Here is a 23,120-nt window from a genome sequence, read left to right as displayed (position 1 = left end):
TATTTCAAAATAATTTTAAACCAACAGAAGAGTTCTAAGAATAGTACCAAAAAAACCCTGTATACCCCTCACCCAGATGAGCCAAATTGTTAGCATTTTGCCATATTTGCTTTATTCCTCCTTTACATTTCTAGGTGTTTTTCTCCCTAATCCATTTGAGTTTGTTGCAGACATCATGCCTTTCACCGCTAGATACTTTAGTGCATATTTCCTAAGAAGGAGGACATCCTCTTACGTAATCACAGCACCATGGTTACCAAGTTCAGTAATTTTAACACTGACACAATTATATTACCTAATATATAGTCCATATTCAAATGTGGCTAATTGTCTCAATGATGTCCTTTGTGGCAATTTTGTTTTCCATCTGGGGAGCTTTTAAAAAGTACCAATGCTGTGGCCCTAACTCCATAGCAATTAAGACATAATCTCTGAGGGAGGGGACTCTGCATATATATTTTTTAAAGTTTTCCAAGAGATTCTAATGTGCAGGGCTGAGAAATACTGTGCTATAGGCTTTTTCTGTGACCCCTGTCTATTGCTGGGATAGGAACTCTTGTCAGCAGGGTAAACCCTGGGTATAATTTGTCTAGACCTCCATGTCTCCTTTAGTCTGAGTTCTGACATAATTAACTGTCTATGAGATGTACTGGGCCTTTCCTCATTGCTTTTTGATGCCACCTCACTAATGTAAACAAAACATTCATTTTTTCATCCTATTTTTTCTTACAGCTGCTTAGCACAGTCCTTATGAAAAAATGAAGCCTTGAAAATGGTATATCCTCTCGACAAAGCTAAGCCTGACAAGTTGGCTGCATTACCTAGAATTAGAGAAGAGCAAGGGCAGATGGTGGGAAAAGAACACCGGGGATATAGCAAATCACTTACCATAAGGGCCAAATTTCTCTTCGGGCTTGCCACAAAGTTTCCCTAGCATTGGACATTGCTTTCTCACAACTAGACTCTTCTCAAATTATCTTGTCTTGGAAAGCAAGCTGCTGAGGTGAGCAGATGTAGCAAGCTGGGGCTGCACTGGACTAGAAGGAAATGTACAGATGGGTAGCGATTCAAACACCAGCCAGCTAATCCCAGGAGCCAGCAGGCTTTTGCATTTCCTGAATGAATTTGGGTCAATCTAGCTGGTCAGTCTACCGGCTTCAATGTATCTGTTCTGTTTCCATCCCTTAGCAGACAAAGGGAAAGCCTGGAGGGTCTGAGGGGGAGCTGACAAAGAATTCATGACATTCAGTCTGTTGGGTGCAGCACTGTTTCTCAAGCATTGAACCAGCATGCTTCCGCCACCCTCCGCACCCCCTCCCACCCAAACATCTGTGTCACTGCAGCCAAAGAAAGTGAGCTTTCTTTACAAAGGGTCTGTTAGAGGGAATTTAGTCCAGATTTGTATGTGTTTGTGAGTATCTTCTAGAAGAGAAGGGAAGGCAGAAAAGGTATCATTTGGCTTCAAAGTTGCTTTGTAAATGCTTGACAAATTGACTTGCTTTTAGTATATATTGATATTCTTTAATATTCGAGAGAACTAGCCAACTCAGATGGATTGCTTTAACAGATGCATCTTTGCAGTTAGTCAATAACAAAATATTTGTGAGCTGTTAGTATCTTTCCTCTTCTCAGAAACTCAATAATGTGCCAAATGAGATCATTCCCTCTGACCCACGAGTCGAGAACATTTTGAATTGTGTTCACTCTGATTAACAACTAAAGAATACTCTAGTTATCACCAAAGCCCAAATGGAGGGCACTTGTATTCCTAGACAACCATTAGGAAATTCCTTAATTGGAGCTCAGTGTGCACTGCTATTGCAATCTCTAATCATCTCTTTCACTGGAGGACTCCTTGTCTTATTACAGATTTTGGTGCCTGCCAGTAAAACAGAATGTGCTTAAATTGATCAAGTATGTGTGAATTGCACATATCCCAAATTTTCTTACAAAAAGGCCAACTTTAGGAAGTGTTTTCATAGGATATAATATTTCACATAGCTTCACTCGAGCTAACAAAGGATTGTCTTTCACAATAGAACAAATGACGAATATTCTCTCCAACCATTAATTTTTATTCTCCAATTATTTAATAGACACATGTGTACATTTCAGGCTGTTAACCCAAAGTCAGGTTTATATGTGACAGTATAGTTCAGACATACACTCACACAAATATCTCTCCTCTGAACCTGATTCTCGTCCTGTTCCTTTCAGGTAACTTGTCACTGCCTTAAGTAAGATCGAGTGGCTTCTTAACTCTCTCTATCCCTTGCCGCTGTTCCCATTCATCCTCCTACTACGCATATCCCCTGCCTTCAGAATAAAAGCCCCAAATTCTTAGTTTGGCACTCTAAGCTCTCTCCACAACCTAGTATCAAAGATTACCTCCACTACTCTCAGTTCTATTGCCAGTGCTCCAAACAAATTTCCTGTTATATATGAAGAAAGCTTGCCAAACTGTCCTGGAGCACTTGCTATATGCCAGACACTGTGTTAGCTAGTTCATAGCATTATCTCATTTACTCTTTCTCCCAACCCAATATGATATAGCACAGGTATGTTGTATTATTTTCATTTTACAGGTAGGAAAACAGAGGCCAAGAGATGTTCAATAATTTGCCCAAAGTCAAGTGGCCAGTAAGTTGCAGAGTCAGTATTTTAAGCTAAGCAGTCTCGTTGCAGAATGTGTCCTCTCAACCTAGCCTGCCTAAATAGTTTTGTGAAATTTGTTCTGGATTTTCATTCCTTCAAGTGTTTTTCATGATATTGTCTTCTTTGGAAATAACCCCTCCTACTCCACTGTGTCTGCTTGCTGAAATCTTGCCCAGCTCAAAGGACATCTCCTCCATGAAGTCATCCCTGATCTCCCACAGCTAAAATGTATTCCTCCTGGCTCTGTGTTCTTACAGCATTGGCTCTAACACTTATACTACTTTTTGTAATGGTAGTTACCTGTGTGTAAGTTCCCTTCTCCCTCCCACCTCCAAGCTGTCCTAAAAGAAACTGAGCTCACTCTCACTATGGCCCTGTAATGCTGAAGCTGAGAAAGTGCCAGTCAGGGATGCCATTACCAAGGAGTGGTAGAGGTGGATAATGGAGTAGATAATCTCTAAGCTCCCTCCCAATTTGGAAGTTCTATAATCCTGGGTGGCAGTTTCCCCGAGGTGCAGGGACTTCACCTTCCACAGCACCAAGCCGAGTAGCTGGCATGTCTCTAGCGAACTGCTGAGCTGGCAAAACTACATTATCTTTGATGCAGCTGAAGATCAACAAAAACTGGCTACACCCTCCCTCCCAGTCTCTGTGTATCTATCTGTGACTATCATGTGTGTTTGAAGGTGACACTGTGCTGCAGGTGTGGCTCGAGGGCTGCAGTCCTTTCCACATTCCTTCCCTATGAAGACTATCCTTTGTGCTGTGCAAGTTGATGCTCCACATGCATATTGATATCTGCAGCACTCAGTGCTTTGCTTGTCAGTCTAGACCAGTGGGTTTCAAACTTCAGCATACATTAGAATCATCAAGAGGGCTTGTTACAGCACACATTGTAGGGCCCCAGCCCCAGTTGGTCCAGGGAAAGACCCAAGAATTGGCATTTCTAACAGGTTCCCAGGTGATGTTGATGTTGCAGGTCCCTGGGCTACACTGAGAACCACTGCTCCAGACAGTAGCTTCACTCAAAAGGAGATGCCTTCTTTCTGACTGCTGCCCACTGAATGCGAGGGGCTAATGGGGGTGGGGTTGGAGGATGAGCACTGAACTGGGAGCCTGAAGACCAGAGTTCTACTGCAGCTGCTGGCTCTAGAGAACCGTGTGACCTTGGGCACGTGTCAGCAGTGCTCTGCCTCTCTAGTTTCCTCACAGACATAAGGATGGGGTGAAGTGGGTGACGGCTATTCTGGGTAGTTCTAGAATTCAGAGTTTGTCCATTGCTCTTCATCCTAGCTCAGTCTTTCAAGTTGGGATGCCAGATAGCCCCTTAGCACCTCTTCAGACATCCAAGTACATCAGTCTGAGCTCCAGCTGCCCCACATGCTTCGGGCCTTCTTAACAGTTATCCTTGTGTATGGAGCCCCAAAAGCAGAGCTGATGCCTTCCCTCTTGGAGACCTAAATCTGCCTTTTCAGAGCATGTGTGTCCTGCATCCCTTATTTTAAATGGTACTGTAGCACAGACGTAAGGACACAGAATTCTAGAGCCAATCTCCTGCATATAATTTTGGTTCTAACCACTTACTGTGCAACCTTGGGTAAGTTATTTAACATCTCTTAGCCTCACTTACCTCAATTTTAAAATGGGGATATCAACAGTACCTACTTCATGGTGTTATTGTGAGGGCTAAATGAAACAATACATGCAAGGCATTTATTATAGTGCCTGGCACATAGTAAGTGCTCAAAATGGTAGCTGTCCTTTCTAAAAAGAGGGTAATGGCATCCTTCATAACACTAAACAAGTAAGGAACTAGAAAACATTATAGCTATAGACCTTTTAATTTCTTTAAACCTCATCATAGTACATAATAATAATTATTATTATAGTAATACCTTATGCAGTATTTTACACTTTTCAGAATACTAAGCACTAAATCCTCTCATACAATCTTTTTTTTTTTTTAAGCACTCTTGTGTGGACTGGTCAAAGATGTTCCTAAAACAACATTGCTGTCACCAAGCCTCCCATGAATTAGGCTGGCTCCTCCCATGTGGATATCTGCTTCTGCATAGTTGGTGAAGAGGAAGCATCCTCAGTCAAAGCTACCAGCTGAGGAACCCTTAGGAAACCCCGCTGGTACCTGGCCTGTCTTTTGTAAGTATACATCAGGCCAGGGGGCTGCTTGCCAAGCAACATCATTGACTGCATACTGTTTAGTGCATGCATTACCAGGCCTCAAACATCCAAGTGATGCTACCTGAATAAGTCGAGAATTTTTGATAATAAACATAAGCCAAATCAAAAAAATGTTCTGGATTTTTCATCATTTCCACTCATTAGTCCAAGAAAAATCAGCCCACCCGTTTGTGCTACCAATTACACTTCTCATGATTTTACACAGCACAAAATCAGGAAGATGTCACAGGCTGTGTGATACCAGTGCCACACTCAGCATTAATTATAGTTCAGTGCTTGGAGAGGAATAAAACACAGGAGACTCAGAAACTTGTTATGGTGCTTAATAAGGATCTATTTACTCACCAGAAATTGGACAGTGATTCTAGACTTCAGCGATTTTACTTCCCTGCTCTTTCCTTCCCTTCATGTTTCTGTCATCTGTGACTTGGTTGGAAACAGAGGACAACAGCAGGCCTTCCATTTGATGTCCTTTGTTTGACTTCCCTAATCTTTCCTCTGTGGTCAGTCTCTTTCCGATACCTTTAAAACCACAGAATGCGGCAAACTGATTTTGCTCATTGGGCTTTAGCCACACTAGGCTTCCTGTGGTTCTTTAAACTGGGCAGGCATTCCATGCCCTCAGCACCTTTGCATTTCCCTCGTACTGGTGTGCTCTACCTTGTGGCTCTTGCACCCTCTTCTTTAAAGGCTTTGTTCAAATGTCATCTCAGTGAGGCCTTCCACGACCATCCTACTTGAATACAGCCCCTCTACTCCTCATTTCCCTTTCCTACTTTGTCTCCATAACATCCATTGCCTGCTAATATACTAAATAATATCCTGATTGTTTTACTTATTGTTTCTCTCTCTCCCTCCCTTCTTCTCTCTCTGGCTGTCAATTCCAGCACTTAAGCCCCAGGAGGGCAGGGCTAGTTTTAATTTTTTATTTTGAAATAATTTTAGACTTTACAGGAAAATTGCAAACATAGCACAGAGAGTTACCATATATACCCTTCACCCAGCTTCCTGTAATCTTAACACCTTAACATAATAATACTAAGATTATTGAAACCAGGAAATTAACATTGATACAATAAGATTAACTCATCTACAGACCTTATTCACATTTTCCCAGTTTCTCTACTAATGTCCTATTCCTGTTCTAGGATCCAATCCAGGATCTCATATTGTATTTAGTTGCCATGCCTCATTAGCCTCCTCTAATCTGTGATGCTTCCTCAACCTTTGTCTCTCATGACAATTTGACAAGTCCAGGCCAACTATTTTGTAGAGTTTCCCTCAATCAGGTGTTGTCTGCTTTTTTCTTACAGTTAGATTAAGGTAGTGCATTTTTTGGCAAGAATGCTATGGAAGTGATGTTGTGGAGGGTGGGATTTTTTAAAATTGTTTTGGTCACTGCTATATCCCCAGTTGACTAAAACAGGACCTGACACATGGTAGGCACTCAGTACTTGTGAAGACACAAAGGGACAAAACCAACAGGCATCCATATTCCTTTCTGGAAATGGAAAGATTATGTTCTGTGGGATATTAGGATTCCTGGGAATCTCTTTTGAAGAAGGGGAAGGTAATATGGTTGGGTATGGTAGGAGTTCTCTACCAAAAAGCAAAACAATAATAGGCAAAGGAACCCAAGTAGTATGTGCCCCAGTGAGAGGGAATATGGATATAATATTTGGATAATGTGATAGCAAGATTTTTAAAAAAACTTTTATATATTTATTTTTGAGACAGAGTCTCACTCTGTCACCCAAGTTGGAATGTAGTGGCGCGATCTTAGCTCACTGCAACCTTCGCCCCCTTGGTTCAAGCGATTCTCGTGCCTCCCAAGTAGCTGGGATTACAGGCGCCTGCCAACATGCCTGGCTAATTTTTGGATTTTTAGTGGAGACAGGGTTTCACCATGTTGGCCAGGCTGTTCTCAAACTCCTGACCTCAAGTGATCCACCTGCCTTGGCCTCCCAAAGTGCTGGGATTACAGACATGAGCCACTGCACCTGGCTTTTTTTTTTTTTTTTTACTTTTATAAAAAATAATACCACTACCACCACCACCACTCCCCCAATAAAACCCAATACCTTGCATGTATAAATTAAGTGGCTGAGTCTACAGGCCCTGAAGCCAGACTGCCTAGATTCACAATCTGGCTCTGGCTGAGCACTGAAGAACTCCGCAAAGCGAAAGAAGCATTCTTTCCTCAGTCCCAAGGGGTTTATTTATTCAAAACTTGCCGAGCACCTCCTATGTGCCAGCCTGGAGTGGGGCCATGCCATCTTTCTAGCAAAAACTGAGTCATAGGCACCATGCAAGAGCCCCACTGGGCCAACCCATCACCTTAAATTGTGGGGATTGTGCAATGCAGCAACTGAGATGAGCCGGGTGCCAAAGCTTCTGGTCACTGCATGGGCATGTGTTTCTTCTTCTTAAACTTTGGTTTAGCTGCTCCTTGGCCTGTGTTACATGAGGTTATTAACTACCCTCCAGCAAGTAAGAGCAGGCTGGGATGCCAGTGCAGCATGTGTCTCACCCATGTCCTGCATCACAGACAGATCAGGACCAGAGAATGGTGATGATGCAAAGGGGCATCTCTTTTGGCACACTCCTGGACTCTACAGTCTCACCTGGCTGCACCTGATTCTTACAGTCCAACAGCCTGTCTGCTCCCTGGAACAAGTGACTACAGAGATATAACATGCCCTCTTAGCAAAGGGAGTTGTGCCATGCCAACTCATTCACAAGCCGTCTGGGCCTGGGATAAGTTTGGTATGCCAGGAGTGTGGCAGGAATGACTAGAACTAAAGCCAAGGTGCTACTCAATTCACCTGCCACTCTATCCTGCTAGTATTTCTTGCTCAACTCATTGACATCTACTTTTGTTTATTTATTCATTTCTTCATTCATTTGATCATTCACCATTCAACAAAATTTATTGAGTGCCTGCTATGTGCTAGGGACCATAGAAGGTGCTGAATATGCACAAGACAAAGTCCTTGCCCTCAATAAGCTTACATTCTAATGCAGGAGGTGGATCTTTTCATTTGAATATTTTTTCTCCTACCTAAAAAAGTTAATAAACCCTCTTTTGACCCTAATTCCTCTTCTAGATACTGCTACTGCCCCATTGCTGTCCTCCTCATTTTACTAAAACCTTGAAGCATTTGTTTATACTTATAATCTCCAAATTGTCTCCTTCCCTTCTCTCTTGAACTCACTTTTATCACTGCTCTGATCAAGATCACCAGTGACCTTTATGTTACAAAATTCAACAGCCAATTCTCAGTTCTCATCTTACTTGAGCTATCTGCAGTGCTTGACATAAGTGACCACTCTCTCTTCCTTGAATCACCTTCTCTTGGCTTCCAGGAACCACATTCTATTGGTTTTCTTCTTTCTTCTCTGGCTGCTTCTTTCCAGTCTCCTTTGCTTGTTGCACTTCAACCCAACCTTTAGACATTGGAGTGGTTTAGGGATCAGTCCTTGGACTTCTCTTTTCTACCTGAACTTATTCTCTAAGTGATCATTCAGTCTTATGACTCCCAAAGTTCTGACCCGAGTCCAGACCTCTCCTATGAATTCAAGGTTTGTATATTCAATTCTCTATTTGACATCTCCAGCTTGGATGTCTAATGGGCATCTGTCTTGGTCCATTTGGGATACTATAATGAAATACCATAAACTGGATAGCACATGCACAATAGAAATGTATTTCTTACAGTTTCAGAGGCTAGAACGTCCAAGATCAAGGTGCTGGTGGTGTCTGGTGAGGGCCCGCTTTCTCATAGACGGCATCTTCTTGCTGTGTCCTCACGTAGTGGAAGGAGTGAATGGTCACTCTCAGGTCTCTTTTATAAGGGTACTAATCCCTTCCATTCGTAGAGGCTCCTCCGTGATGACCTAATCACCTCCCAAAGCTCTCACCTCCTAATACTATCACTTTGGGGGTTAGCATTTCAACATAGAAATTTTGGGGAGAACACAAATTTTCAGACCACAGCTGCACATCAAACTTAACAAGTTGAAAACTAATTCCTTGATATTTCCCCTAAAACCTACTTCTCCCACAGTTCTTCCCATCTCAGGTAAATAGCAACTCCATTATTATAGATGCCTAGGCTAAAAACCATGGCATCATCCTTGACTGGGTACTTTATCTCATGTCCTATTTATAGGTCTGTCAGCAAATCCTAAATACTCTATCTCTCAAAACACATACAGTTTGTGTCCATTTCTTATTGGTTCTCATATCATTGCCATTTCTATCATCCTTCTTCGAGCCCCCATCATGTCTCACATGGATTATTACAGTAGTCTCCAACTGGTTCTTCTGCTTCCACTCTTTTCCCTCTTCAGTGTATTCTCAACATACCATATATAGTAAGCCTACTAAAATCTAAGTCAGATGATATTACCCTCTGCTCTATGATACCCCTTCTTACTCAGTAAAAGCCAAAGCTCTTACAATAACCTTCAAAGTTCCAAACACCTGCCCCCCCAACCCCATTAAATTCCTGAATTTATCACCTACCACTCTTCCCCTTGTCTTCAAACCTCCAGCCATACCGGCCCCCTTGCTGTTCTTCAAACATACTAGGTATGATACAGTCTTAGGACCTTTGCACAGACTCTTCTTTGCCTTAAAAGTTCGTCATCCAAATAGCTGCAGATCTATATCTGTCACTTCTTTCAGGTCTTTACTCAAGATTTATCTATCGAGGTCACTCTGTCTAAAGTGTTTCTCTCCTCCAAAAAATTTATATCTCCATTATCTAGTTTACTTTTCTCCCTAGCACTCATCATTCTCTAACATACTATATGTCTTAATGTGCTTGGACTGCCATAACAAAATACTACAGACTGGGTGGCTTGAACAACAGACATTTATCCCTGACAGTTCTGGAGGCTGGAAGTCCAAGATCAAGGTGCCAGAAAGGTAAGTTTCATTCTGAGGCCTCTTTTCTTGGCTTGTAGACAGCCACCATCTCATTGTATGCTTATATGACTTCTTTGTGCATGTTGGGTGGTGGGGTGGTGGGGGAAAGAGAGAGATAGAGAGAGAGAGAGAGAGCAGGCTCTTTGGTGTCTCTTCTTATCAAGGCACTAATCCCATTAGATCAAAGCCCCACCCTCATGACCTCATCTAACCCTAACTGCATCCCAAAAGCCACATCTTCAGATACTATCATATTGGGTGTTAAGATGTCAACACAATAATTTGGTGGGGAAGACACAACCATTTAGTCTAGAACACTATAAAAATTTCACTATATATTTTATTGATCTTGTTTATTGTCTGCCTCCTCCACTAGAATTGAAGTTTGATAATGGTTGGGATTTGTGTTTAGTATGTCCACTAGTTTAATTTCCATGTTTTGAGTAGTGCCTGGCACATGTAGGGGCATAATAAATATTTACTAAATAAGTTGCTAAAATAAGCAAAATAATTATAGTTTGTGATAAGCACCAAGAATGAAATAAACAAGTTGACAGATAAAACAAAGGCTGTCCACCTTGGCTACACATTAAAACCACTTGAGGAGCATTTAGAAATACAGATAGCTGAGTTCCATTCTCAGAAATTCTGATTTACTTCATCTAGAAGAGGCCTGGCCATTGTTTTGTTTTTTAATGCTCTCTGAGTGATTCTCAATTTGAAGCAAGCCTGAGAACCAATGAGTTTGAGAATAACGTGGGGACAAGAACCTACTTGAGACAGGGTGCACAGGGAAGGCTTTTCATGTTCTTCTGAGAAAGTATAATTGAAATGGAAACCTGAAGGACGAAAAGAAACATGGGGAAGTTGGGGCAAGGCTGGCATTCAATTGTTGGTAGAGGGTCAAAACAAGATTAAAAGCACTGAAGCAGGGATGAGCTTGGTGTATCCTCAGAACAGTAGATCAGCGCAGGTGGTGCACAGGGGGCAAGGGGAAGAGTGTAACAGGATGAATGTGGAGAGATGCACAGGAGCCAGATTATTCAGGGTCTTCTAGGCCATGGGAAGGAAATATGAATTTATACTACATGCAATGGGAGCCATGGGAGGGTTTTGAGGAGGGAAATCATGTGATCTGATTTTTTATTTTCTAAAGATTGCTCTTGCTGCTGTGTAGAGGCATGAGCGAAAGCAGGAAAAAGCCTAGGAGACTGTTTTGGTAGTCTAAGAGGGACTCAACAGTGGTCTGGACTGGGCTAATGGCCTAATGTTGTTCCTTTCCATCTAGATAGCAAAGGCCTGAGAGTGGTACATGAATCCATTCTGCCCAGGTAAACTCATACACAAAGCCATTGGTTTCTGAAAATCTTTCCAAAGCTAAGATTCTATAGCTTGCTAATTCTGATCAGTGGCTCAGGGGTTGGAATATGTATGCCATGACTTGCCCTAGAAAGGGGGCCCAGTTGATCTGTTAATGAGACAGTGCTTTCTAACTAGAAAATCCAATCAGAAAGGGGCTTAGACAAAGTGATGGTGGCATTCGCTGACGGCACCTAAATTTTAAAGAGCCCTACTAACCCCAACACTGGTTTTTTTATGCTTTCTAGGGGAGAGGGGTAGGAGGAGGGAAGAGGACAAACACTGTGCTTTTGAAGGAACTTATTAATTAAAGGAGGAGATCAAGACGTAAACACAAATAGGAGTAACACAAGAGAGTAAGATAAGTATCCAAAGGAAGATATGAATACAATCAGTAATTGCCATAATTTATTTAATACCCATTTTAGGCTGAGCACTGTGTTGTGTGCTTTACATATGTTCTCATTTAATTTTCACAACAGTGGAGTAGGTAATATAATCACATATGGTAATTATGATAATAATAACAGCAAACGTTTGTTAAGCCAGGCACTGGGCTAGGTGTTTCAAAATATATAGGCATATCATCACTCCATAGATGAGGATAACTAGGCCCAGAAAGGATAAAAGACTTATCCAAAAATCACAGAGCTAGGTTCAACTGCCAAGCTCTGATATTCAAACATTGGTTCAACTCCCAAGCCCATGGTTTTAAAGCATTCTGGGAATTCAGAGCAGATGGCTCCTACCTTGTTCTGGGAGGTACACGTGTGAAAGGAGGAAGACCCTGTGGAGGAATAAAGGTGTGAACATGAAAAAGGAGGAGCTTATTCAGGGACCAGCAAGTGTCCTGCTTGGTCAGGGCTGAGGGTGTATAACAAGGAATTGTGGCCCAATGGCAAGGCAGTTCTCCTTCTCCTTTCTGCCCCTAACCACTTCACATGTGCCAAACAGGGGTTGCAGCCTCCTATCAAGACTGTCTGTCCCTCAAGGCTTGATCTTGGGGTGCCTTGATCCTCTAAAAGCCCCTGGCAGCTCAAAAAGCCTTAAACACACTCGAAAGTAGGGCAAGTATAGATTTTCAAACTCAAACCATGATGAGTAGTAATTTGGCCCCCTCATTAGTTCTTAGGCGGAAGCAGCCCTTTGGCATTTAGGACATTGACAACAATATCTGAGAAGGACAAGAGGATGGGAAATACAGAGAAGGCAACAACCAGCATCTAGCACAACATCTCATCGAGTCAGCAAAGACAATTCAACATGTAATACTGCTTGTAACGGCAAAAATTGCCAATGATCTAAATGCCCATCAATATGAGATTGATGAGATAAATTATGAAACATCCAAAGAAAAGAACACTATATCATTGTTTAAAAGAAGGAGCTAAAACTGTACTTTCTGAGAAGGACAGACGTTTCCAAAGGATTGTAAGTGAAAAGAGCAGGTCATGTAACAGTCTCTATATCATGATCCCAGTAAAACCATAGATCTGTGTTTATATATGCATAAAACTGTCAACCATAGTTATCTAGTACAGTGTCGGTGCACAGAATTACAGAGGAAATTTCCCTTTGTATTTTGTATACTTATGTATGCTGTTGACCTTTACAACAAGCCAATATCACCTTATAATTGGAAAAAACAATACTAGAATTTCCATTTTGCAAAACAAAAACATCCTATCTTAGATCACCTTCATCCATGCTATCTTTTGCATTGACAACATATCTTGGATTTAGCCATGCATTTGAATTTGTCTCAGAATTTTCTCATGAATGAACTAAAGCAAGATAGTAACATATTGATCAAGTTATAATACAGTCAAATGGATTGGCAATCCAGCAGAAGTTCTCCAGAGAAGGGCCACAAGACTTTTTCATTTTTATTAATAACTTAGGTGATACAGAAAATGTACTTACTGTGTTTTAAGATGACTCAAACCTGGCAGGGATGTCGGAATATGTTGAAGAACAAAATTGAGATTCAAAATAAGCTCAGACGGGTTGGAATACTGGGCTAAAATTTAAATGGTGAAATATAAATGAGATAAAGAAAAAAAATCATCAATTCAAATTTTAAAAGTCCATTTTGTGAGGCCAAAATAGGGGAAGTGTGGCTTCACAGCAACTCACATCAAACAAATAAACAAACTAAAAAAGATCAAGGGGCTTGAATTGACCCACAAGCACAATTCGAGCCAACAGTTTAATGTACCTAAATTATTTAGTCGCTAAAAACAGAGCACAATTTTAGATTGCATAATCAAAGTACAGTTTCTAGATCCTAGAATATAATCATTGCACTGTAACCTCCTCTGTTCACTCCTGCCGTCTCCTGTTCAATTTTAGACATCACATTTTAAGAGAGTCACTAAGAAAGTGGAAAACCTCCAGAAGAGGGTTGCAAGATTGACAAAAGAAAACCATTCTATAATAGGAGTTACTCTTGAAGGTAGAAGAGACAATAGGGCCTGTAAAGGAGAAACGTTGGGGGATATATAAGATATCCACCTGCCTTCAAATCTCAAGTATTTTCCTGCGGAAGGTATGCACTTATTCTGGGTTGCTCAGGTGATAGAACCAGGACTACTGCCACCCGGTGGTGAAAAGGAGGCAGATTTTCAGTAAACCCATCAAAAGGCTTTCCGACCTTGAGAAGGTCCTGCAAGAAGAGGCTGAGCAAGCTGATAAGGCAGTGACGGTTTTAGTCGAGGCGGAATGAACAGATGCCCGGTGGCAGAATTGCACTGAGTCCCTTTCAGCTCTAAGAGATTACATCTTTTTCCCCTATTCTCCGTGCCATCAATTCCTCTCTGTGTCGCCCTCAGGATCAATAAGTCCACTCTCTGCAGTCTACAGAGTGGTAAGGAGAGTTCTGAGGGAATGGTGGAGTTGCTGCCTCTTGTTTATTATTGCCCAGGATCTATGGGGTCAAAACCCACTGCTTATAGGAGTGCCAAATAGCTCATATAAGTTGGGTCATGTCCTTCACTGAACAAGCTCCTCCGTGGCTTTCCATCTCACTCCCTGGAAATGGCAGTCAATGCCCTTAACAAACTTGTCTCTGTGACCTCTCTGACCTCCCATCCCAATACTCTTCCCTTCATTCACTCCATTGCTGCAACATGGGCTTCTTGGCAGTTTCATAAATGCCAGATATCCTCCTGATTCAAAGACCTTGCTCTTCCTGTTCTCTCTGCTCCCAATGCTCTTCCCTGAGATACCTACATGACCTACTCCCTCACCTCCTTTAGGGCTGGATTCAAAAGATTACCTTCTTGGTGAGGCCTACCCTGACCACCCTCTAAAATTATAGGCTCTGCAGGGTTCACTCTCCAACCCTCCCTCACCACTCCTGACCATTTTACAACTCCTTATCACCCCATCTGAAGATATTTTCCATAGTACTTAATATCACATAACACAATATTTTATATTTATTATTTTGTTTTCCATACTACCTCTATTGGGCTATAAATTCCTTAAATACAGGAATAATGCCTGTCCTGTGTGTTTTTTTTTCTTGTCATATCTCAGCTTCTGGAACACTGGCTAGCACACAGTAGTTACTTATTAAGTGTTTAACGAAATGCCTGCTGCATCCCAAATCCATGCCATCTCCTGCAGTCTTGATTTTCTCAACAAAAGAAATTTTAAATTTAAGAACCAAATCCAAAAATAATAACAAGATGTGTCTTAGTAGTAAGATTTGGCATGATTGCCTATTTTTCTCAATTTTCTCATGTTTTAGTTATGCTGTCATATTACCTTAATGGTCAACTGGCCATAATAACTGTAGCAGCTAACATCTATTGAATGCTTATCATGTACCAGGCATGGTGATAAGTACTTTACTTGGATTAACTCATTTAATCCTCACAATAGCCCTTTTCAGTTGGCACTACTGTCATTCCCATTTTAAAGACCAGGAAACCGAGAAACGAGGAAGTGATGTGACTCGACCAAGGCTACACAACTAATATTAGACAGATTCCAAAGCCCATGTTATTGTCCCCTAACTTCAGTATAAGATGAAAACTGGTGATGATGATGATAGCTAACATTTATTGAGTACTAATCATGTATCAGGTGCTATGCTAAATGTTTAACACACATCATGTAATTTAAAGCTGAGAAAAGCCCTATGAGGCAGAAATAATCATTATGATCATTTTATAGTATTAGGCCCTCCTGTGATGTAATTAACCAAACCTGTGCCCACACTTAACCTCTGCCTTGGTTTGTTTTCTTTTTCTTTTCTTTTTTTTTTTGAGACAGGGTCTGGCTCTGCCATCCAGGCTGGAGTGCAGTGGTGCAATCTCAGTGGCTCACTGTAACCTCTGCCTCCAGGGTTCAAGCGATCCTCCCAGATCAGCCTCCTGAGTACCTGGGACTACAGGCCTGCACCACCACACCCAGCTAATTTTTGTGTATTTTTTAGAGATGAGGTTTTGCTATGTTGCCAATGGCTGGTCTCGAACTCCTGGGCTCAAGCAATATGCCTCCCTGAGCCTCCCAAATTGCTGGGATTACAGGCATGAACCACCGTGCCTGGCCCCACCTTGACTTCATAGCAAGCATCCCTTGACTTTCTCTTTTGTGTTTTAGGCCAGTGAAAAAGCTGGATAAGCAATAATCTGAGAGCCACTACTTGAACCCTTCTGTCCATGTAGATTAGACCTCCAGCATACGTTGTGATTTCAGCCCTTATTTGTGCTGTTGCCCCTGACCAGTAAAAGAATATCCTTTTTTTTTTTTTAACTCCTGCCAGCCCTAGCCTGTGAATTTTTATTCCAAAGCTTAGTTTAAATGCAACTCCCTCCAGGAATCCTTCCATGGTCACCCCTTTCTACCACAATTTCTTTCTCTCATTCTACGGTCAATACATTTCCTTCAGCCCTGGTCTCTAGCTTTGCAGTGCTGGCTCTCTTCCCACTCAGCTATGTCCCTTCTTCTCAGGTAGACTATAAGCTCATGGAGGCAGATAGGCCTATGCTTCTTGGCATGCCCTGCATAAATGGTATGTTCACTGTCACATAGTAGGTGCTTAATCATTATTTTGCTGATTTAATGATACTATACCCTCATCGTTGTAAAATGTTTATCTGTTTCCAAGGTGCTCTTATACATATCATCTCACTTTAGCCTCACAGCAGCTCTGAGACACAAGAGAGACAGATCTTATTTTTCTCATTTTTACAGTTAAGGAAATTGAGTGCCGGAGAGGCTAAATAAGTTGTCTCAGGTCACATATCTGAGAATTGAGCCCAGCTGTCTGGACTTTGAGCCCCAGATTCTTTGCATTAGACCACACCGACTCTATGACTCTGCCGGAAGACACCGCTGTCTGGGAGCAATGATAATAACATTCCTATAAAGACTTTGTCTTGATTCTATCACTGGAGCAAAAGCAATAAAGAGCGCCAAGAGGCAATATCCTCAGTTGAGATTGGGAAGGCAGGTAAATTCATACACTCTGGTGAGAAGTGCCTGGGGATTATCAGATGGGTGGTGATGCGTCTGTTATATTCTTTAGGAGGAGGGGACTGAAGACTGAAAGCTGTCCTCTACACAGAGCAGATTAACTCAACCCTCAGCAGAAGGGAGGCAGCCAGCATGGTGACTATGACAGAGCAACTAGGAGGCAGGAAAGCTGGGTTCGAGATCCAGTTCTGCTACAAGCCAGCTGTGTGATAATGCAGAAGATACCTAATCTTTCTGAGTCTGTACTTCCTCATTAGAAGCTGCCAATTTACAAGGCTTCTCACAGCGCCAGTGTTCTACAGATCTATGACACAGATCACAATAGGGTGAACCTTGGACTCTATCTGGATCACAAACATATTTTCTTTGGTGCAAATAGTATTTAAATTTTCTATGAACTGGTAACCGACATTGAAAAATTACAAGATTTTACATGAATATTCAGATGTCCAAGCTCTCTAGAAAAATCAAAATATCTGGCAGCATTAAAAATTGGAAAACTTCACATAAAATTTGATTTTCAATCTTCCTAGAAAAAAAATATCTGGACACATGGGATTATTTTCATTATCTGTTTATTATTTAAAATATACTATGTTAAGTTGTATGATAAGTACCATCAGGAAAATACAAAGTCAGGTAGGAGATGAAGAGTTTTGAAATGGTAAGAGTAGTAGGTTCCTGCAAGGCCTAGAGTATCACAGAGGGTAGACACAGAAGGCCTCACTGGCAAAGTGACCACATTCCCACAGGACCATAATGAACTGGAACCCAGAAATAGCTGCTCCCTTTAGACAGAGCATGTGGATGAAAGGTTAGGGGTGCTAACATCTTCAACATATCAAGTCAGGACTGAAAAGATGATGCTGGTTGATGTGACCGGAAGGATAGTTTTAAGCTAATTATTTGATTTTACAGAGGCAACAAAAGAGTTTCAAATGGTAAAATCAATATCAAAGTCTGGGAGAAGGAAAGGAGGAGCAGTTGTTTGGACAAGAGCTTGGCACACTTATACAAAGCCTTCACTAACCAAGAGCAGCTAAACATCCCATAAACCCAGATGCATTTTCCGTCTAATGGGGTCAATGCCATTAGCCTGATACCTGCAGCCGCCTCCCTAACTTGCCCTTACATTTCAGGCCAGGGCCATTATATGATATTAGAACTGATTCTAATTAGAGAACCACCAACTCTGTTGATCCAAGAATAGCATGGGAGAGATGGGGAGAGAGGAGAAATGGATCCTACTCCATTCCCTTGTTGGTCATTTCTTGTCTTATCTGAGACTTGACAGATTAATTCTCTGGATGCCAGTTTCTCCAAATAAGAAATGAGTATTTCAAATAATTTTGTCCAATGTCAAGGTATCTACAGTGAGGGTAAGTATTGCCTCATGAAATGTTTGCATGTATATATATACACATACACACAAACGATGTATATACAACTATATTATAAATGATAAATATAACTGTCTTTATATTTAAAATTATATGTAATTATAAACATTTTATAACTCAATATTTACCCTTACTGTGTGCAGTGTACCCTGTTATTTCCCATTCCATTCCTGTATGTGTGTTTAATGCTGGTCACTATCCACTAAATTGATTTTCTGAGCAGTGGGTAACAATTGACAGCTTGAATAACAGTGCTCTACACCAATGGTTTCCAAATTGGACCCACATCAGAATACCGTGGAGTCCTTGTTAAACACATGTTCTTGTTCTCCATTCCAAACCTATGGAATCAGAATTTCTTTAGGGCAAGGCCCAGGAATCTGTATGTTTTAACAAGGACTAGCTGTGCACTGACATTAAGGAATCACAGTTATTCTCAGCACACAGATGCAAATAACATCAAAAAGAATTATTATCAAATGCATACTCCACACCAGTGCTTCAGCATAATAGCTTTCATTTATTATCTCACTTAAATTCCCACAACAACCCCACTTTAGAGATGAGGAAACTGAAGCTCAGAGGTTCGATAAGCTGCTGGAAGACATACCCGGGGAGATTAATGAAGGAGCAGGGCTGTGATTTGTGAGGGGTCTGTTTGAGCCCAGTGTTCAACCTGCATTGACTCTTCCAACAATTCTTCTTTCTGCAGCTCCAGAGGCCTTGAACCTATCCTGAAATATTCTATACCAAGTCAAATTCCAGATCAGATACCCAAATTCCAGGTCAACCACCAGAGACAAAGAGCAGACATAAAACAATGACAATAAAAATATTTTGTACTAATATCAGGTTTTTACTGTTTCCAAAGCATATGTGGGTCTATTTTCTCTACATTTGTACCTTTCAATCATTCTGTGAAGCATGAGGGTTAAATGAAAAAACAGAGACCCAAAGAGGGGAAGCAACTTACTCCAGGTCTCACGGCAAGTTCACAGCCAAGCTGCCACACTCTGACTCCCTCTGGCGGGGTCTAATACTGCAATTGGGCTGGCTTTCTCCAGGGCTCACAGCTCCAACACATTTTAGGTCTAGTTCCCTTTAAGGGAGAAGAGGAAGGGATGGGTTGCTTTCTGCCTCCTTCCCCATAGGATTTACCATCAAGTTCAGAAATGAACACACTCTCCATCCACACTGCCTGAGGGACAGGTTGCCCCGACTTCCACAAGGCTGTGCTGAGAACTGGCTGCATTTCTATTTTTGCCATGCAATTTGTAAGAAGCTTTGCACTATGCTTCAAAGAAAAATAATGGATTCCATGATGAAAAGAAAAAGCTCCATCCCTCCCACAGAGGTTAAATGCCACCAGCCACTAGTGAAGCAGCCTTGGGAAGTCTCTGCTGAGCAAAATGTTGAGAGCCCACAGAAAACCTAGGCAGTGGACTGGACCAATCTTTGCCAATGGCAGAAAGGGTCTGAAAGGATGAATGGCCCTCATTTATCCTTCTTGGCTGAGACCCTCCCTCTGTTGAGAACATCCCTCTGTTTCTGCCACAGACAGTGGTGTTTGTAGTGTGTATATGTTTATGTGACAAATTACTAGTTATTTACCAAACACTGTATTGATTCTAACATTTTTCACCCCTTTCCTTTTAGAATACAGAACTTTCCATCTCTCCCCTTAACAGCTCCTGAAGCAAACCTCCCACTCATGCAACACACGAATGGACACACACATACACACACACACACACACACACACGCGTACACTTGGTGAAAATGAAATCAAGACCCCTTTCTTTTGGCCTCAGTCTCCCTATCTAGAAAATGTGAATGAGTTGAACCAGATATTCTATTAGGTTCCTTCTCTGGTTCTAAGAATCTGATAAAATAAGTGGGGAAAGCATTTAATACAGCCCATGAATTTGTGATTCAGGCTCTGAGCATGAAGGGGTAAACTGGCCTCAAATTGTGTTTTCAATGGTTGTCTTTTGTTAAAGGGAATCATAAGGTGAGATGAAGAACAGTAATTTCTGTTATGCCCATGAGCATGATAACATCTTAACAATGAGGATTATGCTGTGTTTTCCCTCTCTTCTTTTATTTTTTCATTCTCTTTATGCACAGTCAGAGCTGCAAAGACTGCCTAGTCAGTTGTCTCTTCCCCCCATGTCAATTTCTCTTCCCATGTGAAGGTGGCAGATACAATCCAGCCCTGTAATAGCTAAGGTTTCAGCCCTGTAGAGCTTCAAGCTAATGCCATTCTCACCTCAGAGGTAGTGCTTCATGTGATGTCAGAAAGATTCCAAGAGGTGTTAAATTTGCTTTGTGGTTGCAACTCCCTTTTAGTTTGGTGAGGCTGGCTTAGGATTTGATGGTTTTATTGATTTCAGTATCAAGATAGTACAGGATATCTCAGCTTTTAAATTTATATTGTCAATCATCAAAGTAGCTGCTACCCTATGGGGACACTAACTAGACCTACACTCACTGCAGCTTACCAATGTAGTACATGGCTCTTTTCTACCTGCTCCTCAGGGCTGGATTCAAGATTATGAGATTGAAGAGAAGCCAGGGGGTAGAGGGATAATCCTAGGGTGGTTTGAAAAAGAAATCAGTGGAAATGAGACTGTTCTCATTCTCACACAACACAAAAGAAAGCTTTGAATCGAACTGCCTGTGTCTGCATCCAAGTCACTGAATCACCTGGGTTTCAGTTTGCTCATCATCAAATGTGGATAATTCTATACTAGGAAATACCTTATAAGGTTACTGTGGAGATTAAATGAGAAAAAAGCCTAGAGCAATGCCCAGCACATGCTAATATCTCAATACGTGCTGGTTATACTGATTATTATTCCTCCTGACCAAACTGGTCTTGCAACTTTCTGATGTTTAACAACCTTGCATTTTCTGGCCATCTCATTTCACCAGAGGATCTCAAAGCACACTAGAGATGAGGCTGAGCTGAGGTTCATCTTAGAGCCAATGAGTGGAATAGGGAGCAAAATTGCTCATTTTCCTGTTCACTTATTTATTCACTCAGCAAATACTTATTGACCACCTATTAAATGCCAGGAACTGTGCTAGGTGATGAAGACATAATGATGAAAAAGACAAAGTCCCTGCTTAACAGAGTTAACACTCTAGAAGCAGGGAGGTAGGAGGAAGGGGGAGGCAGATAAACAAGAAATACAATGATATGTGCTTGGTGAACTCAAGGGACAGAAAATCAGTGTGGGTGGGGTTTGGGGCAGTCATGAGAGGGAGGGTGATATGAGATGAGGTTGCAGAGGAAGGCAGGGGCCAGATCATTCAAGCTTTGTAGGCCATCTAAGGAGTTTTATCTTTATCCTAAAAACATTAAAATATAAATGGAAGGCTTTAAGCAAAGAATCAACATACTCAAGTGTTCGTTAAAGTTATTTTTTTATTTTTCTCAGCTCACTGCAGCCTCGATCTCCAGGGCTCAAGCAGTCCTCTCACCTCAGCCTCCTGAGTAGGTGGGACTACAGGTGTGCACCAACACGCCTGGCTAATTTTTGTATTTTTAGTAGAGATGGGGTTTCACCACATGGCCCAGGCTGGTCTCAAACTCCTGGGCTCAAGCGATTTGCCCGCCCTGACCTCCCAAAGTGCTGGAATTACAGTCTTGAACCCCTGTACCCAGCCTGTTTGTTAAAGTTCTTAGTGACTGTTATATAGAGTAGAGATTGGTTGGAGTTGAGATTTGGCGGGGGCGGGGGGGCGTAAGGCTGCCACTATCTGATACAGTGTCTGTGTGAATCACAAAAAAGACACCCCTTCCTCATTTTAAAAATGACAACAAAAATTATGTTAGTCTTTTCTTGTACAACCTAAACAAATTTAAGTCCTGCCCAAGAAAGTTTGCCAGAGTCATGGTGGGCAGCAGCCTGTGTTGTGAGCACCCACATTATTCCTCTCACTCATGCATTTCTTGTCACTGGAATAGATGCACCATCAACAACACTTTGCCCCCCACTGTTCTATCCCCTCTCCAGCTGAGGCAGCTGGAAGTGGGAGGGATGGGACTTCAGCCTGTGGGAACAATGGGTAGTAGAGAGAGAAGTAAACTCAGGGGACACCCAGGGCTTGGGTAGGATAGAGTCCACTTGTGTGTGCCACTGAGTATGTACATTTATGGATGTATATGTGTGTGTATGTGTGTGTGTGATTGTGCTTTCCTGAGTCTATGCAAGGCCATGTGCACTGGTACAGTTTTAAGTAGGAGCAGGCTCTCTTCCGCTGTTGTCAGACTTAGAGCCAAGAAGCCCAGAATGTCTGCACCCATCTGCACAATCTTATGTAAGTATGTATGTGTCTGTGATATAAATGGCACACCCATAGCTATGGTGCCCTTGTGTAGTATACAACCTGAACATCCATACATGGCAGGCCTGGCAGTAAGAGCGGAAGCAAGTAGATTATTTAGGGGGCTGTTGCAGTGGTTTGGGAAAGAGATGATGGTGGCTCACACTAGCTAATGGCTGAGGAGGTGGTGAAAAGTGATGAAATTCAGTAAATATTTTCAAGGTAAATGAACAGGATTTGCTGATGACTAGGATGTGATGTGTAAGGGAACAAGAAGAACTCAGGATAACCACCAGGAGTTTGACTTAAGCAACCAGGTGAGCGGTAGTGCCATTTACTGAGTGGGGTTGACTGGAAGAGGAATGTATTTGCAGAAAAAAATCACAAATTCTGCTTTGGGCAGCTTGTATCAACTCCAGCTGCCCACCTATGGTGGCAGATCATCAGTCTCTGTATCTTAAGCTTCTCCTCACTGAGGATCTTAAAGCACTTTATGCGTGGGGGGCTCTGGAAAATTGGTAATCCCTGATACGTATCTTCACCTCGGCAGTTTTCTTTCTGTACCTTCTTTGACTTGAGAGGAAATAATAATTTTACTTTGTTCCTACCAGTTTCTCAAGATTTCTCTCTCTCTCTTTCACACACACACACACACACGCAGACATACACACACATGCACACAAACACACACATCCTCTCTCTCTCTGTCTTTCTCTTACCATTTCCAAATGTCCTTTTCTAAGATTGCTTTTTGT

The 23,120-nt window shown here is 41.8% G+C and overlaps 1 protein-coding gene across 10 annotated transcripts in view; it reads right to left on the bottom strand.

Moving 5' to 3' along the window:
• Positions 1 to 23,120, bottom strand: part of PAK3 (p21 (RAC1) activated kinase 3) — a 282,965-nt gene that overhangs the window by 220,810 nt on the left and 39,035 nt on the right. For 2 of the 10 annotated variants that reach the window (XM_047442148.1, XM_011530968.3), the window contains exon 2: positions 13,070 to 13,166. The exons of the other annotated variants lie outside the window; for them this stretch is intronic. The gene's annotated coding sequence lies outside the window, so the exon portion shown is untranslated. The remainder of the gene's footprint in view (positions 1 to 13,069; positions 13,167 to 23,120) is intronic. 10 annotated transcript variants of the gene reach the window in all.

The sequence above is a fragment of the Homo sapiens genome, chromosome X (genome assembly GCF_000001405.40).
Source record: "Homo sapiens chromosome X, GRCh38.p14 Primary Assembly".
In the NCBI taxonomy this organism is placed as follows: Eukaryota; Metazoa; Chordata; class Mammalia; order Primates; family Hominidae; genus Homo; species Homo sapiens.
Note: the sequence above shows the minus strand (reverse complement) of the source record. Positions and strands in the feature narration are given on the sequence as shown.